The sequence below is a fragment of the Homo sapiens genome, chromosome 4 (genome assembly GCF_000001405.40).
Source record: "Homo sapiens chromosome 4, GRCh38.p14 Primary Assembly".
NCBI classification, from domain to species: Eukaryota; Metazoa; Chordata; class Mammalia; order Primates; family Hominidae; genus Homo; species Homo sapiens.
This window is the reverse complement of record NC_000004.12, coordinates 119,247,640-119,266,864: the sequence shown is the minus strand read 5'-3', so window position 1 is coordinate 119,266,864 and position 19,225 is coordinate 119,247,640. Positions and strand designations below refer to the sequence as shown.

The following is a 19,225-nucleotide window of genomic DNA, read 5'->3' as shown; positions in this document are numbered from 1 at the left end:
AAACAAAAGAGAAAATCTTTGCAACCTTGGGGAAGGGCAGATTTCTTAGCATACCAAACCATAGAAGAAAAATATTTTTAAAATGGACTTAATCTAAATTAATTAATAACTTTTGCTCTTGGAAAGACACCATTAAGAAATTGAAAAAAAATAAGCAACATACAGCTAATAAAGGACTGGTATGCAGAATAAAGAATTCCTACAACACATTAATAAGAAGATAATCCAATGCGAAATACTGGCAAAAAATTGGACATTTCACCAAAAGAAAGATGTAAGAATGGTCAAACAAGCACATGAAAAGATGCTCAAAATATTACCAATGACAAGGGAAATGCAAATGAAAACCACAGTGAGATAATATTATACATACACGAGAAGGGCTAACATTAAAAAGAATACCAACACGAAGTGCTGCTGAGAATGTGGAACAACAGGAACTCTCATACATTGCTCTCATAAAATGCAAATTGGTATAACCACTTTGGAAATCAATTTGACAGTTTCTTGTAAAGTTAAACAGACACTTACCACACAACCCAGAAATCCCACTTCAAGGTATTATCTAACAGCAACGGAAAAAAATATGTTCACAGATTACTCATACTTCAACAGGTAAACGGATAAATTGTTGTACAGCCATAAAACACACAATAAAAATAAAGTGTGAATCCAAACAACATGAATGAATCTTAAAGACATTATGCTAAAGGAAGGGAGGCAGATACACAGTAGTACATACTGTAAGAGACCATTTATATAAAATTGTAGAATGAGTGAAACTAATCTATAATGAGACCAGTGATTTCCTCATCCTGGGGTGGTGTGGGGAGTATGACAACAAAGAAGCCTGACAGAATTTTTCTAGCAGATGAACATGTTCTGTGTACTGATTATGGTAGTTACATAGGTAAATACATTTATCAAAACTCCAACTGTACACTTAAAATGGGTGTATTTTAATGTTTGTGCACTATACCTCTATAAAATTGATTTAAAAGCAAAACAAAACCAACCAAACAAAAACACCACAAAGCATTCTAGAATATTTTTGCAGGCAAGGGGACTTTTAAGAACAATTCTGATGAGCTTTTTTGAACTACACATATTCAGCTGTTTACCCTCCTCACTGGGGATTCCAAGAGACTTGAGGAGTCCATTTGTTTTGTTGTTGTTGTTGTTGTTGTTGTTGTTTTGAGAAAAGGTCTCACAGTCGCCCAGGCTGGAGTTCAGTGGCACGGTCTCGGCTCACTGCAACCTCCACCTCCCAGGTTCAGGGGATTCTCATGACTCCATCTCCTGAGTAGCTGGGATTACAGGCATGTGCCACCACACCTGGCTAATTTTGGTATTTTTAGTAGAGACAGAGTTTCACCATGTTGGCCAGGCTTTGAGGAGTCAATGTGAATATAAAATAAAAAACTTCACAGGGTGATTAATACAGCCAGTTCTTCCTCCAAATTTTGAACAATTTAAACTATGTAAAAGCAAAGTAGAAGCTGCAAATGTTGTTACACATCAACTCAAGATGAAACTTAATAAACTCCTACATCAAAGTACTAAGTAATTCAAGCAAAGTGCTGATTTTAAATATAAATACCAAAAAATTTTAATAGCTTTATTGAGTTGTACTATATGAAGTAAAATTATCTAGTTACAGTGTACAAGTCATTGAGTTTTGACAATACAATTGTGTAATCCTCACCCCAAAATCTTACCTTGTACCCCATTTTGCAGTCCCTGGAAATGAGTGATCTACCCTCCACACCTTTGTTTTTCCTTCTAGAATTTCATATAAATGGAATCATAGCATGTAGTCATTTATATCTCACTTCTTAGCATAATGCTTCTGAGATTTTTTCACATTATTGCATGTGTCAGTTCAATAGTTCAGTCCTTCTTGCTGAGTATTATATTCCACTGTATAGCTATACCACAATTTGTTCATCCATTCACCAATTGCTGACATTTGAGTCATTTCTAGTTTGGGCATTATGAAAACTACCATGAACATTCAAGTACACGTTTTACATGGACTTACATTTTCACAGGAGTGGATTTGCTGGGTTATATGGAAAATATATGTTTAAATTTATAAGAAACTGACAGTTTTGAAAGTGAATGTTCAATTTTGTGGTTCCATCAACCTTGTGTGAGAGATCCAGCTGTTCCTATCCTCACCAACTACTGGTCTTTTTAATTTTGGCCATTACAACAGATGAGTACTAGAATCTCATTATGAATTAAATTTGTATTTCCATTGTGGCTAATGATGTACTGAATATCATTTCAAGGGCCATTCATGTATATTCATTGGTGAACTGTCAACATTTTTTGCTGATTTTTTAATTGGATTTTAAGAGTTCTTTCAATATTCTGGATACAGTCTTTATTAGATAAATGCTTCACAAATATTTTCTCTCAGTATACGGTTTGTCATTTTATTCTCCTAATAGTATCTTACTGAAGAACAAAAATTTTAACTTTCAATGAAGTCTAATTTACCAGCTATTTTTATGGTTCATGCTTATTAAATGTTATCTAAGAAATCCCTATATATAAATAGTAGTTTTACTATCCTCCCCTGATAGTCCCATCTCAGTCATTTCTGGTCTGTTTTTATTAATTTTTCTTCAGGTTCTTTGAATATTTGGTAATTTTTTATTGAATGCTATTTTGAAGTGGCATATTGAATTTCATTGAACTTTGTAGTCTTGGGTATTGAATTTTGTTCTGTTATTTTAAAAGTGGGATTAGCTTTGAACTTTCAAGACTTTAAGCTTTTTTTGTTTGTTTGTTTTGAGACGGAGTCTCACTCTGTCACCAGGCTGAAGTGCAGTGGCGCGATCTCGGCTCACTGCAACCTCTGCCTCCTAGGTTCAAGCAATTCTCCTGCCTCAGCCTCCTGAGTAGCTGGGACTACAGGTGGGTGCCACTATGCTAAATTTTGTATTTTTAGAAGAGACGGGGTTTCACCATGTTGGGCAGGATGCTCTTGATCTCTTGACCTCGTGATCTGCCCACTTTGGCCTCCCAAAGTGCTGGGATTATAGGCATGAGCCCCCGTGACCAGCCCGGCCTTGTTTTAAGCTTTTTAATATCAGGTCCAGAGCAACCTTCAGCCTAGGAATAACTTAGCCCCATTATCAAGGTAATACTTTTCTGAAGGTTCCAGCTAATGCCTACATGTTATATCATCTCTCCACTCTTTATGGTGGGGATACAAACTATTACTAACCTTGTATGATTTTTGAGAATTGTTTTACCTTTTGTTTTCCAGTGATGCTTCCCATCTTTCCCAACTAACCCCAAACTTGTGTGGGTTCACCCCTCACATGCACAAATCACAATTTAGCCAAAAATTCCAAGGAACCCTTCTGTCAATTTCCAGAACTTTTTCCCTGTACAGTTTTCTTTCTAGTATTCTGTCCTGCAAATTTTAGCCATCTAGGCCTCCCTGAACTCCAGTTTCAGTCTCCAGAACTCAGTGACACTACTAGGCTTTGTTTGGGCTCCCACTGCCTGCACTGCAACCCAGAAACTACCTCTAGGCAGTAAGCAGGGGGTAATTATAGAGCTGAACTCATTTGTTTCCCTTTTCTCTGTTCAACTGCATGTTGTTCAATGTCTTGAGTTGTTTCACCTATGTCCTAGTTTTAAACAGTGAAATGGCTATTTCTATAGCAGTTAATCCTTCATGGGTAGAATCAGAAGTCCACTAAATACCAAACATTTGAATTTGTATTGTCTTAATCACAGTGCTGATAAATGGCCTTTTGTTATATATTAATAAAATGGAACTAAATAGAATTCTACATCATTTGCTTATAACAACCAAAGAACTTGTATTTTTAAATGAGTTTACTACTTAATAAAGATTGCCAAAGCCAGTAAGCCTTGACAAGACCAATAATTTTCAACTGTGTTATGTCTGAATTTCCTGTAGAACTTAAAATTTCAGATACCTGGCTTTACACCACTGAATCAAAACTTTAGGAATCCAGGAATATATGTTTTTTTAAAAGCTCCTCGTGATTCCAATACTCCTTATTAAGAACTACTATTCACTACTTTTCTAGACAATATTATTACTATTTGAGTAAACAAATTACAGTTGGCCCTTGAACAACACAGGTTTGAACTGCACAGGTTCACTTATATGTGAATTTTCTTCTGCCTCTGTCACCCAAGACAGCAAAAGCAATCTTCCTTTTCCTCCTCTTCAGTCTACTCAGCGTGAAGACAGCAAGGATGAAGACCTTTATGATGATCCATTTCCACTTAGTGAGTGGTAAATATATTTTCTTTTGCTTATAATTTTCTAAGTAACTTTTTTTCTTGCTTACTTTACTGTAAGAGTACAGTATATAATATATAGAACATACAGAATATGTGTTAATTGACTGTTTATGTTTTTGGTAAGGCTGCCTGTCAATAGTAGGCTGTTGGCAGTTAAGTTTTGAGGGAGTCGAAAGTGGTATGTGGGTTTTCAACTGCACAGAGGGCTTGGCACTCCTATGTTGTTCAAGGGTCAACTGTAATTACCAAAAGATATAACTGATATATCTATTTCTGTATTCTACACACAAAATTTGAAAAAAATTGTCATAATAAAAATAAAGGCAAGCATATTTTCATCACTAGTTATACAAAACTACTGTGAATCATCCACAAAAAAGTAAATATAGCAAGTATGCGTCAGGCAAAAAGGATCATCACTGACACACAGATCACTGATAGTTACATATTTGTATACTAATATTCATTAGTTTACTTATTATTATTCTGGAAATGGACTGGTTTAAAAGCTGGCTTCAAAATAAGCCAATTTCAAGAATAACAAAAGAAAGTTTGAACTTACTGATGCTATCATCATGTTCATTTATTACTATTTTACATATTAATTATATCATCCTTTTGAATATTAATATCAATATATCATTTATTAACAAAAAGTAAAAATCACAGTAATTATTTCAATTAAAGAAAGTGTCACTTACCTCTTTCACATTTGCATCATCAAAAAATACCCATTTGGAACTTTTGGTGTGAAATGCAAAGGCACAATAATGTTGGCTGGTGTAGCAGATCATACCAACAAGGTTAAGTTCACTATTTTTGGCATTTTCATCAGTAACTCTATAAAAAAGCTGTTTAAAAAAATTGGTAATGTACACTTAACACTACATCTTTTGTAAAATGAGGAATAATTAGATGAATCATGTCTTTGACACATAATGAAATATTTCTCATGCATACTGCCCCAATCTAATATTATATTATTACTTGAAGGCACCACTGACATCACATTGTTAACAGAATTACCACTTTTAATTCATTCATAAAACTTTAAGTCCAATAAAACGAATTCACTACAAATTAGTTTAGCAATAATAGAGTATCTCTAATGACACATGACTGACACTTTTCATAAAGAAATTCAAAATATGAGATAAATTCCACATTTCTGGTAATTCTTGACTGAATCACATATTTGAATGTTCATTAAACATATTATCTAAAAGATAATTATCCAAAACTTTAATTGTAACATGAACCAAATCAAAATATACCAAGAAAGTAACAAGCATAACAAGAGATCATGGCGGGGTGTGGTGGCTCACGCCTGTAATCCCAGCACTTTGGGAAGCCAAGGCAGGTGGATCTACTTGAGGCCAGGAGTTCGAGAGCAGCCTGGCTAACATGGTGAAACCCATCTCTACTAAAAATACAAAAAATTAGCTGGGTATGGTGGTGCATGCCTGTAATCCCAGCTACTAGGGAGGCTGAAGCATGAAAATTGCTTGAGCCTGGGAGGCAGAGGTTGTAGTGAGCCAAGATTGCACCACTGCACTGCAGCCTGAGTGACAGAGCAAGACTCTGCCGCAAAAAAAAAAAAAAAAAAAAAAAAAAAGAGAGAGATCAGTGCTTTAGATGAATTTTAAATATTAAACCTTTCTAAGTTAACAATATTTATATTTACAATCATGGCCATACATAAAAAATCATCAATCATCATGATTTTAGAGTGAAAGAAGCAAAAGCCATGAGACAGTTTAGTTTGTAATTGAAAGCCATTCCTAGTCTATGTAGTAAAGGCATTCCAGTTAGCCTGATTTGATTAAACTTGTCGTTATCAGATAAAACATCAGGATGATGTTTTAGAAGAATTTGAAAATAAAAGGGAAGGGAATGAAAATAGATAAGATACCCCAGGAAGATAAAGATGTGTTGCTAGATTCCGAACAACAGCTTCGGTCAAGTCAGAATGCTCGGAGTCCCAGACTAAACCAATTGTAACAATCTCTGGGCAATTCATTAAAACACGGCGAATTTTTATTTTTTGGCCACAGTTACTCTACAGAAAAACATAAAAGTTTTAAAATTATGAAAACAGATAAACCAGGCAGCCTTACACAGTTTGCATTATATAATGACAATTTTAACACATATCTGCAATTTATTCAGTATACTAAAAATTGACTTCTAACAAGCTGTTTGTCTTAATTATTGATTAAAAAAGAAGTTTATTTTAAATAAAAGTATTCTTTGATAATTTTGTAAATCTGTTAAAGTAAGAATTCAACCTAAAAAAAAGCAGAAATAAAACTCTTGAAGTCAGTAACAAATATATTAGATGAGAAAAGAGTATCATTCATCATTCATCAAGTTTACTGAAAAGAAACTTTCTCTGTAATCAAATGATAAATTTCAGAACTTTGAAAAAATTTAATCAATATATGCTTCACAAACTTAGGAGTTTTTAAACAATTTATGCTAAGATAAATGATACACATGGTATAATCTAAAATAATATTTTTTAAAAATTCTTAAAGCTAATTCTAGATATAGAATCAATATTTACATGATAATATCTGAATGCCTATTTTCAAATCTACAAAACAAGAAGCATACTAATATTCTCCAAACTATACTTACAGGACATTTCCTATAGTCATCTGTTGTATTTGCTGCTTGTAGCAATTCTGCAAACATTTCAGGTTTAAAGCGTTCATGCCTTTCCAACATTCTTTCAACCTCATTGCTACAAAAAAAGAAGCAATCCCAAATCTGGCCTATGAACTTAAAACTTTAATAAATTACACATGAAAAATATTGTCAGTTTAGATGTGCATCACTTTTTCTATCTAAAACATGACCATGACTGAAAAATTAACCATAAAGTACATTTCCATAAAGTGAAAAATTATTAAATTTGGCAAGTATATAATGAAAAAAATTAGCTCAAATAAAGAAAACAAAGTAACACAAAATTATATGTTTGGAACTAGATAAATGAGGCTAACATGCTCTGTCTGGAGGTAATTCTAAGGCAAATGTTTTATTTGTATTATTACTTAATGAGTAGAAACTTAAGTTTAAACCCTACCCTAACAAGAACAACAAACTGTAGGAAAGGCTCCCTCTCTAGCCCAAAGTTCCTAGGAGCAATGTTATCAATTTCAGCTAGGAGAAGGTCCTTTGCTGATTAAATGCAGAAGTCACAACCAAAGATTTTAAAGCCAGACTTACTCCTTTTGTTCTTATTTTGAATATTACTCCCCCCCCTTTTTTTTTTTTTTTGAGATGGGGTCTCACTCTATCGCCCAGGCTGGAGTGCAATGGTGCAATCTTGGCTCACCGCAACCTCCACCTCCCAGGTTAAAGTGATTCTCATGCCTCAGCCTCTTGAGGAGCTGGGATTACAGGCACGTGCCACCACATCTGGCTAATTTTTGTATTTCTAGTAGAGATGGAGTTTCACCATGTTCCTCAGGCTGGTCTTGAACTCCTGACCTCAAGTGATCCAACCACCTCGGACTCTCAAAGTGCTGGGATTACAGGCGTGAGCCACTGAGCTCAGCCAGGATACTAATCATTTTATTAGAGCCCAGGCAGGCCTTTTAATACACTACAGGGTAACTGTGATACTTTTTATTCAACCTCCTTAAAAGACATATTTTTATGTATCAGGGTATTAAGTAACTAATATGGTTTGGCTGTGTCCCCACTCAAATCTCATCTTGAATTGTAGCTCCCAAAATTCCTTCGTGTTGTGGGAGGGACCCAGCTGGAGACAACTGAATCATGGGAGCAGTTTCCCCGATACTGTTCTGGTGGTAGTGAATAAGTCTCACAAGATCTGATGGTTTCATAAGGATAAACACCTTTTGCTTGACTCTCATTCTCTTCTCTTGCCTGCCACCATGTAAGATGTGACTTTGCTCCTCCTTGCCTTCTGCCATGACTGTGAGGCCTACTTAGCCACATAGAACTGTGAGTCAATTAAACCTCTCTGTTTTATAAATTACCCAGTCTTGAGTATGTCTTTATTAGCAGCATGAGAACAGACTAATACTTAAACAACTATTTAAATATTTCCAAAAAGGAATGTAATGTAAGCTGAAACACTAACTAGTTTCCATTCTAGATGTTCTGATTGTACTTAACAGTAATATAACTATTCTAGAGCTGGATATATTTTACAGTTCAATAGTTTAAATAATCTCCAAGTATTTGGTAACAACTAAATGTACCCATCCAAACACTTCAAGAGTACACTAGAAAGCCCTAAATCTGATAAGCTCATTCAAATTGCATATACTGCTTTTACAAAACTGACAGCATTAGAGTAGTGGTTAGCCAGAAAAATTTTGAAGTCAGACCGATCTGGGTTTCAATCTTAATTCATCCACTTACTAGATTAACCTCATTAAACCTATTTCTTCATCAACAAAATAGAATTTTGGTTAAGATTAAAAGCAACAACTTAACATAAAGCCTGGAACATGGTAAGCATTCAGTAACTGGTATTCAACACTGATTACCAATACAAATAAGGATATTATAATTAGAATTCAAAGCGTGCACTCCTGCAACTTGCAGTGTTTACCAAGCAGAGAATGATGGGGCTGTAATTCTTATTATCTAACATTCTGCCTCAGAACACTGTCATTTCATTCAAGAGTTTTAAAGTAGAATTAAAATTTTAGTTTTTAACTTATTGTCTATCTTTGAACACCATCCTACTTTTCATAGAAATTTAAAAAAATGACTGACGACTGACTACAATTTGACTGAAGTTTAGGAATGTTTCTCTAAATCAGTGTTTTTCACTTGTCTGTAAATGTAAGAAAGATAGTAAACACACCCAAATAACGAAATTGTTATTATTCAATAATCTTTATGAAATAACATTTTATACTCAATAAAGCCAGGAAGATAAATAATATGAAATGAATAAACATGATATTTACTTTGCACACTGACACAAATATTGGCAGCATTTATCAACTGTTGCACTAACATATTCTGACTGATAATTATTGATCCATATTATGTATTTTGTATTAAAATGTATGCAAATGTTTATGATCTTACTCAATGTTTACCACATGCCAACTTTTTTGTTGTTGCTGTTTTGTGAGACGTAATCTTGCTCTATCACCCAGGCTGGAGTGCAGTGGCGCAATCTCAGCTCACTGCAACCTCCACCTCCCAGGATCAAGCAATTCTCTGCCTCAGCCTCCGGAAGAGCTGGGATTACAGGTGCCCGCCACCACACCCAGCTAATTTTTTATTTTTAGTAGAGACGGGGTTACACCATCTTGGCCAGGCTGGTCTTGAACTCCTGACCTCAGGTGATCCACCTGCCTTGGCCTCCCAATGTACTAGGATTACAGGCATGAGCCACTGTGCCCAGCCACATGCCAAATATTTATACTTTCAAATACCTGTTGGAAAATATTCAAAGAACATTATGTAAGGTCTAGGGATAACTTTTAGATCCTTAACGAGCTAATCTTTCATGGACAGAAAGGGAGAGAGTGAGTGGGCAGCTGAGCAGGCAAGCATGGCAAATTTTTTATTTAAAGTGAATGATGAGTCCTCAAATGCAATAACCTGAGAATTACGCTCACATTTTTCTTTCTTCTCCGCTTACCCTAGCTTTTATCACCAGAAAGGGACATAGTGGAGCTGACTGAAAATATGGCCATTACAAACAGAACATCTCATAAATGAAGCAACCATGTATAGTTCCATTTAACATTCAGTTTATCATTTCATGCTCCCCTTCACAGTTCTAAAATTTGTTATAAATTAAATAGATATAAAATTTAACTAGTATTATGTACACTTCACTAAGTAACACATATATTAGGCCAAATTACAAACATCCAACTTTGATAGACATCACTTAATACATCTCACAGCAGCATACTTGGTAGCCTCAGACAGAGAGGGGAAATTCATGTATGCTATGATTTTATAAAATAAGTGCTCAATGTGCTTAAATATGTTATTAATATCGTTGATAATTAAGCTTTAATAGGTTCTTACCATAAGGCTGTTGTAGAAATGTACCGCACAAATTCTGTAAAAGGTAGAGGATCTGACGATGCTCCACAGCTACGACACACACACTATATAGGTAAAAACATATGTTTAATCTATCAATCATAAAACAGAACTACAATATCTAAATAATAATCAAGCCATCTCACCTGTTCATACAGAGTCATAGCAAACTTCTGGTGAGTGATACAAGATTTAGAGGTACACATGTCTGCATCTCTGCTTGGCACTATGTGAAAATGAATCCTCTCCAACATATTTTCCTAATTTAAAAATAAAATAGATAAATGAGTTGTTGATCTTGCAGGGAACACAGCAAAATATAACTCTTTACCTGCAGATTATCCAAAGTATAAATTTAAGAGTGTCATACATATTGTTAGCTTTTCAGCTTTCCTCTCTAATCAACACTTTGATCGAATGTTCAATTATTCACCTTTTATAGCACTAGCTTGAAAGAAAATGTTGTTTAATTAAACAAACATTATAACATGATCTTTAATAAAGTTATTTTTAATCCTTCTAAAAACCCATGGTGACTGACATCTACAATTTAATATTAGAAAACAGTTTCCTGTGTTCCCAACATTCTCAAATGAAGAAAAAACAGATAGCTTTAAAAAAAATCCTGGATGGCTGAATAGGAACAGCTCCGGTCTACAGCTCCCAGTGAGACTGACACAGAACACAGGTAATTTCTGCATTTCCAATTGAGGTACCTGGTTCATCTCATTGGGACTGGTTGGACAGTGAGTGCAGCCCACGGAGGGCGAGCCAAAGCAGGGCAGGACATCACCTCACCCAGGAAGCACAAGGGGTCAGGGGATTTCCCTTTCCTAGCCAAGGGAAGCTGTGAGTGAATGTACCTGGAGGAGCCATACACTCCTGCCGAAATACTGAGCTTCTCCCACGGTCTTACCAACCAGCAGACCAGGAGTTCCCCTCCCGTGCCTGGCTCAGCGGGTCCGACACCCACGGAGCCTTGCTCACTGCTAGCACAGCAGTCTGAGATCAACCTGGGATGCGGGAGGTTGGTTGAGGGGAGGGGTGTCTGCCCTTGCTGAGGAGTGAGTAGCTGGTTCTCTGCTCACGGTGTAAACAAAGCAGCAGGGAAGCTTGAACTGGGCAGAGCCCACCACAGCTCAGCAAGGCCTACTGCCTCCCTAGATTCCACCTCTAGGGGCAGGGCGTATCTGAACAAAAGGCAGCAGACAGCTTCTGCAGACTTAAATGTCCCTGCCTGACAGCTCTGAAGAGAGCAGTGGTTCTCCTAGCATGGCGTTTGAGCTCCGATAACGAACAGACTGCCTCCTCAAGTGGATTCCTGACCCCTGTGTAGCCTGACTGGGAGACACCTCCCATTAGGGGCCAACAGACACCTCATACAGGCGGGTGCCCCTCTGGGACAAAGCTTCCAGAGGAAGGATCAGGCAGCAATATTTGCTGTTGTGCAGCCTCCACTGGTGAAAACCAGGCAAACAGGGTCTGGAGTGGACCTCCAGCAAACCCCAACAGACCTGCAGCTGAGGGGCCTGTCTGTTAGAAGGAAAACTAACAAACAGAAAGGAATAGCATCAACATCAACAAAAAGGACATCCACACCAAAACACCATCTGTAGGTCACCAACATCAAATACCAAAGGTAGATAAAACCACAAAGATGGGGAGAAAGCAGAGCAGAAAGGCTGAAAATTACAAAAACCAGAATGTCTCTTCTCCTTCAAGGAATACAACCCCTCACCTGCAAGGTAACAAAACTGGTCGGAGAACGAGTTTGAAGAGTTGACAGAAGTAGGCTTCAGAAGGTCAGTAATAACAAACTTCTCCGAGCTAAAGGAGCATGTTCTAACCCATCGCAAGGGAGCTAAAAACCTTGAAAAAAGGTTAGACAAATGGCTAACTAGAATAAACAGTGTAGAGAAGACCTTAAATAACCTGATGGAGCTGAAAAACATAGTACGAGAACTTCGTGAAGCATACACAAGCTTCAGTAGCCGATTCAATCATGCAGAAGAAAGTATATCAGTGATTGGAGATCTAATTAATGAAATAAAGCAAGAAGACAAGATTAGACAAAAAAGACTGAAAAGAAACTAACGAAGCCTCCAAGAAATATGGGACTATGTGAAAAGACCAAATCTATGTTTGATTGGTGTACCTGAAAGTGATGGGGAGAATGGAACCAAGTTAGAAAACACTCTGCAGGATATTATCCAGGAGAACTTCCCCAACCTCTAACAAGGCAGGCCAACATTCAAATTCAGGAAATACAGAGAACACCACAAAGATACTCCTTGAGAAGAGCAACCAAAAGACACATAATTGTCAGATTCACCAAGATTGAAATGCAGGAAAAAATGTTAAGGGCAGCCAGAGAGGAAGGTCAGGTTACCCACAAAGAGAAGCCCATCAGACTAACGGTGGATTTCTCTGCAGAAACTCTACAAGCCAGAAGAGAGTGGGGGCCAATATTCAACATTCTTAAAGAAAAGAATTTTCAACCCAGAATTTTATATCCAGCCAAACTAAGCTTCCTAAGTGAAGGAGAAATAAAATCCTTTACAGACAAGCAAATGCTGAGATACTTTGTCACCACCAGGCCTGCCTTTCAAGAGCTCCTGAAGGAAGCACTAAACATGGATAGGAACAACCGGTACCTGCCACTGTAAAAACATGCCAAATTTAAAGACCATTGACGCTATGAAGAAACTGCATCAACTAACAGGCAAATTAACCAGCTAACATCATAATGACAGGATCAAATTCACACATAACAATATTAACCTTAAATGTAAATGGGCTAAAGGCCCCAATTAAAAGACATAGACTGGCAAATTGGATAAAGAGTCAAGACCCATCAGTGTGCTGTATTCAGGAGACCCATCTCATGTGCAGAGACACACATAGACTCAAAATAAAGGGATGGAGGAAGATCTACCAAGCAAATGGAAAGCAAAAAAAAAGCAGGGGTTGCAATCCTGGTCTCTGATAAAACAGGCTTTAAACCAACAAAGATCAAAAGAGACAAAGAAGACCATTACATAATGGTAAAGGGATCAATTCAATAAGAAGAGCTAACTATCCTAAATATACATGCACCCAATACAGGAGCACCCAGATTCATGAAGCAAGTCCTTAGATTTCTACAAAGGGACTTAGACTCCCACGCAATAATAATGGGAGACTTTAACACCCCACTGTCAATATTAGGCAGATCAACAAGACAGAAAATTAACAAGGATATCCAGGACTTGAACCCAGTTCTGGACCAAGCAGACCTAATAGACATCTACAGAACTCTACACCCCAAATCAACAGAATATATATTCTTCGCAGCACCTAATCTAAAACCGACCACATAATTGGAAGTAAAACGCTCCCGAGCAAATGTAAAAGAACAGAAATAACTGCCTCTCAGACCACAGTGCAACCAAATTAGAAATCAGGATTAAGAATCTCATTCAAATACGCACAACTAGATGGAAAATGAACAACCTGCTCAAGAATGACTACTGGGTAACTAACAAAATGAAGGCAGAAATAAAGATGTTCTTTAAAACCAATGAGAACAAAGACACAATGTACCCAAATCTCTGGGACACATTTAAGGCAGTGTGTGGAAGGAAATTTATAGCATGAAATGCCCACGAGAGAAAGCAGGAGATACCTAAAATTGACACCCTAACATCATAATTAAAGGAACAAGAGAAGCAAGAGCAAATAAATTCAAAAACTAGCAGAAGACAAGAAATAACTAGGTTCAGAGCAAAACTGAAGGAGATAGAGACACAAAAAAACCCTTCAAAACAATCACTGGTTCCAGGAGCTGGTTTTTGAAAAGATCAAGAAAATAGACAGACCACTAGCAAAACTAATAAAGAAGAAAAGAGAGCAGAATCAAATAAATGCAATAAAAAATCATAAAGGGATATCACCACCGATCCCACAGGAATATAAACTACCATCACAGAATACTATAAATACCTCTACACAAATAAACTAGAAAACGTAGAAGAAATGGATAAATTTCTGGACACATACACCCTCCCAAGACTAAACCAGAAAGAAGTTGAATCTCTGAGTAGACCAATAACAGGTTCTGAAATTGAGGCAATAATCAATAGCCTACCAACCAAAAAAAGTCCAGGACCAGATGGATTCACAGCCAAATTCTACCAGAGGTACAAAGAGGAGCTGGTACCATTCCTTCTGAAACTATTCCAATCAATAGAAAAAGAGGGAATCCTCCCTAACTCATTTTATGAGGCCAGCATCATCCTGATACCAAAGCCTCGCAGAGACACAACAAAAAAAGAGAATTTTAGGCCAATATCCCTGATGAACATTAAAGTGAAAATCCTCAATAAAATTCTGGCAAACCGAATCCAGCAGCACATCAAAAAGCTTATCCGCCATGATCAAGTGGGCTTCATCCCTCTGATGCAAGGCTGGTTCAACATACACAAATCAATAAATGTAATCCATCACATAAACAGAACCAATGACAAAAACCACATGATTATTTCAATAGATACAGAAAAGGCCTTCAACAAAATTCAACAGCCTTTCATGCTAAAAACTCTCAATAAACTAGGTATCAATAGAATGTATCTCAACATAATAAGAGAGATTTATGACAAACTCACAGCCAATATTATACTGAATGGACAAAAACTGGAAGCATTCCCTTTGAAAACCGGCACAAGACAAGGATGCCCTCTCTCACCACTCCTACTCAACATAGTATTGGAAGTTCTGGCCAGGGCAATCAGGCAAGAGAAAGCAATAAAGGGTATTCAAATAGGAAGAGATGAAGTCAAATCAGGCAAGAGAAAGTGATGAAGGGTATTCAAAATGGAAGAGACGAAGTCAAATTGTCTCTGTTTGCAGATGACATGATTGTATATTTAGAAAACTCTATCATTAAAAAGTCAAGAAACAACAGATGCTGGAGAGGTTGCAGAAAAATAGGAATGCTTTTACACTGTCGATGGGAGTGTAAATTAGTTCAACCATTGTGGAAGACAGTGTGGAGATTCCTCAAGGACCTAGAACTGGAAATACCATTTGACCCACCAATCCCATTACTGGGTATATACCCAAAGGATTATAAATCATTCTAGGATAAAGACACATACACAGGTATGTTTATTGTGGCACTATTCACAATAGCAAAGACGTGGAACCAACCCAAATGTTCATCGATGATAGACTGGATTAAGAAAATGTGGCACATATACACCTTGGAATACTATGCAGCCACAAAAAAGGATGAGTTCATGTCCTTTGCAGTGACATGGATGAAGCTGGAAACCATCATTCTCAGCAAACTGTCACAAGATCAGAAAACCAAACACCACATGTTCTCACTCATAAGTGGGAGTTGAACAATGAGAACACATGGACACAGGGAGGGGAATATCACACACTGAGGCCTGTGGGGGGTGGGGGGCTAGGGGAGGGATAACATTAGGAGAAATACCTAATGTAGGTGACAGGTTGATGGGTGCAGCAAACCATCATGCCACGTGTATACCTATGTAACAAAACTGCAAGTTCTGCACATGTAACCCAGAACTTAAAGTATAATTAAAAAAAAAAATCCTACTTGAATCATCTAGGTAGTCTGTATAAATAACAGCAAAACAAAGGCTCTATATCTACACTAACACCATAATGCAGGCAATGCAATCTGCAGTGAATTTCATATAAATATTGATTTACAATATAGATCAATAAGGGGCATTTATTTCTTTAACATAATTCTTTTTACCAAAGCTTAACCAATGGATTCTATTCATTAGCTAACTTCTCTCTCCTCTGCCCCAGGATATTTAAGACCATTTAATAATTTAAGCCTAGACTTCTAGACATTTTGTGAATTATCATATCATGTATTAGAATAATTCATTTAAGTGAAAGTAAAACTATAAAGTTTAGCATTGTTCAAAATATATTTGTTTTAAGCAAAAAATCAATTATAAACAGAAGAAATATGGAAAGTATATTTCATTACTGTGTGTGCCATTATTGACATTTTAATCAACATGCAAGTGTGCTAGGCAAGATGCTAGTCAATGAGCTTTCCATCTAAGGAAACCATGAAGATGCTCATTTTTAAAAAGGTGATTAATAATATAAAAATGCCAAATGAATTCTACAGAGTAAATTCTACAGAGAATGGATTGGGTGGTTTGGTCATGTGTTATCTGGTAGGCATAGACTTAGTCTGAACCTTGACAAAATGATAGATTTTTAAAGTTTTGAGTATTTCAGGAACTTGAGCAAAGGCTGCTAGTAGAACAGCCTTATAAATAAGGACTATAAACAAGAATATAAAAATATATGTGAGGAACAGAATGGAATAATCTCACTAGGAAGAAAAATCTAGGGATGAAGCACTGAGGGAAGGTGGAGTTTAATCTAAAGGGCCTTAAATATCAGAATAAAAAGTCTAGATTTAAATCACAGAAATATTTGAAGAGTAAGCGTTAACCTGAATAAAATCATATTGATATGGTGGTTATTTAAAAAATAGGACATAAGGCCAGTCGCAGTGGCTCACGCCTGTAATCCCAGCACTTTGGGAGGCTGAGGCAGGCAGATCACGAGGTCAGGAGATCGAGACCATCCTGGCTAACACAGTGAAACCCTGTCTCCACTAAAAATACAAAAAATTAGCCGGGCATGGTGGCGGGCACCTGTAGTCCCAGCTACTCAGGAGGCTAAGGCAGGAGAATGGTGTGAACCCAGGAGGTGGAGCTTGCAGTGAGCCGAGATCACACCACTGCACCCCAGCCTGGGTGACAGACCGAGACTCTGTCTCAAAAAAAAAAAAAAAAAAAAAATAGGACATAAATAAACAGGTTGAATGGACACCAATAGGAGGCTTAAATATACTGAACTGGAAGAAGTTGTGGTAGGGAATTAATACGGAAAGAAAAAACTTCTGAAAGGGTTTCTGATGAAAGAATTTACAAACTTTGCTGACTAGAAACAGAAAGAAGAGAGAAGAAATGGTTACAACTTAATTATAGGTGACATCAATATTAATGAGACATTTAATAATTAACATACCTATTTTACATGTATAAAGTATGTACCTGATCAAAGGAATGCTCTACTTACTAATATGGTGGTAACACAGAGCCTGAGAACATCAACCTCAGTGATTTTCAACCTGGAATGTGTGTAACAGGCTGTTGCCCCTGTTACCCACCAAAATCCCACCAAAATCCCCTTCTCTCCCAGTGAGAATCATTGCATGCAATGATAACTATTACTGCTGGGAATGTGCTGCATATGTGGTCCCTATAGTGGCAGAACACTGATTTAAGTGATATCATTTATATTCAGCAAAGCTTATTGCTCCAACTAAGTTTTAAAACATTTTAGTAGCCTAAGAGTAAAAATTAGAGCAACAAAAATAATCAAAACCAAAAGTACAACACAAAACACAGATGGATTGAAGTTGAGGCTTGAAGGATGGGTAAGATATGGATCTACTGGACAGTTTTGACATTTTTCTATTGTTCTAAATTTTTGTTTCATTTGTCTCAACACTTGTACCATCTAAGGAATGAAAACTACTATCCTGACTTCTTAAGGAATATCAGAAACACTTACAAAGCACTCCGCAGCATCATCCATAAGGCCAAGTTGAAATCGCTGCTCATCTTTGAAACTTTCTGCAAGAGCATGCCTTATGTTATCTGAGGGAAGTGCTTTTTCTCGACTGTGTTGGAACTGTGCAAATATCGTCTGGGAATCGACAAGAAAATCAGTAAGTTTAATGCCAGCTTTAACGACATTTCAGTAATTTCATTACAACACAGAGAAACTCAAAACACTATACTTGGAAAATAATACAGAAGTCTTTTGCTCTAAAATTTCATACAAAAATTAATTATTTGTATCATCAAGTGTAGAAATGTTTGCACCAGCCTCTAAATCAAATGTTAGCAGACACAAGAATTAAACATGTAGGGTTCCCAGGTCCCACCCTCAGAGGACACTGCTGGTCCTGAGCATTTCAGACAAGAGATACCCAACCTGTATTTCGGAAAATAATACAGAAGTCTTTTGCTCTAAAATTTCATACAAAAATTAATTATTTGTATCATCAAGTGTAGAAATGTTTGCACCAGCCTCTAAATCAAATGTTAGCAGACACAAGAATTAAACATATAGGGTTCCCAGGTCCCACCCTCAGAGGACACTGCTGGTCCTGAGCATTTCAGACAAGAGATACCCAACCTGTATTTCTAATCTAAATTAAGAAACTGGAAACATCATTCAGTTTCTAATCTAAACCTAAGAAACTGGAAATATGAGATTATAGTTGTTAATATGATTTTCAATTTTCCTTATTAAACTTAAGCAAGAAAAAACATTTTAATAAATTCCAATTTTATGACAATCATCTTACATGGAAGAAAGAAAAGTTTTCAATGACAGCCCACCAAAGTAGTATTGGTCACATTCAGTCCCATGTTAGCTCAAAGGGTCATGTCATCTCAAAAAAAAAATATTTTTTTAAGATCAACATACAAAGAAAACATTTCACAAATCTGTTTCACTACAGCAAAAAAATACAATTTATAAATAAAATAAGAAATAAAAAAACAGATGTCATCTGATATTAGATACCCAGAACTATAATTATTTTAGCCATTATAGTAGCTAAAATTATGAATAGTAAAAGATGAAAAATAACTTTCAGATTTTATCTCTTATTTAGGCAATTAACTTCCAGGTAATGTTTAAGATTTTTAATCCTATGCGAGACTGTCACTCATTGATTCAACATATATTTTTTGCCTCCCTCGTATATGTTAGGCATTGTTCTACCCTAGAAAAATGGATGACA

At 36.5% G+C, this 19,225-nt stretch overlaps 1 protein-coding gene across 33 annotated transcripts in view; it reads right to left on the bottom strand.

Annotated features, from left to right (window-relative positions):
• USP53 (ubiquitin specific peptidase 53) overlaps window positions 1-19,225 on the bottom strand; it is an 82,918-nt gene that overhangs the window by 28,654 nt on the left and 35,039 nt on the right. For 27 of the 33 annotated variants that reach the window (XM_017008313.2, XM_047415829.1, XM_047415828.1 and 24 more), the window contains 6 exons: window positions 17,983-18,117; window positions 10,506-10,619; window positions 10,342-10,424; window positions 6,940-7,045; window positions 6,212-6,358; window positions 5,001-5,150 (listed from right to left, as the gene is read on the bottom strand). In XM_017008313.2, coding sequence (XP_016863802.1) covers window positions 5,001-5,150; window positions 6,212-6,358; window positions 6,940-7,045; window positions 10,342-10,424; window positions 10,506-10,619; window positions 17,983-18,117 — 735 coding nt within the window. The remainder of the gene's footprint in view (window positions 1-5,000; window positions 5,151-6,211; window positions 6,359-6,939; window positions 7,046-10,341; window positions 10,425-10,505; window positions 10,620-17,982; window positions 18,118-19,225) is intronic. The other 6 variants (XM_047415830.1, XM_047415832.1, XM_005263075.4 and 3 more) reach the window with 1 other exon arrangement.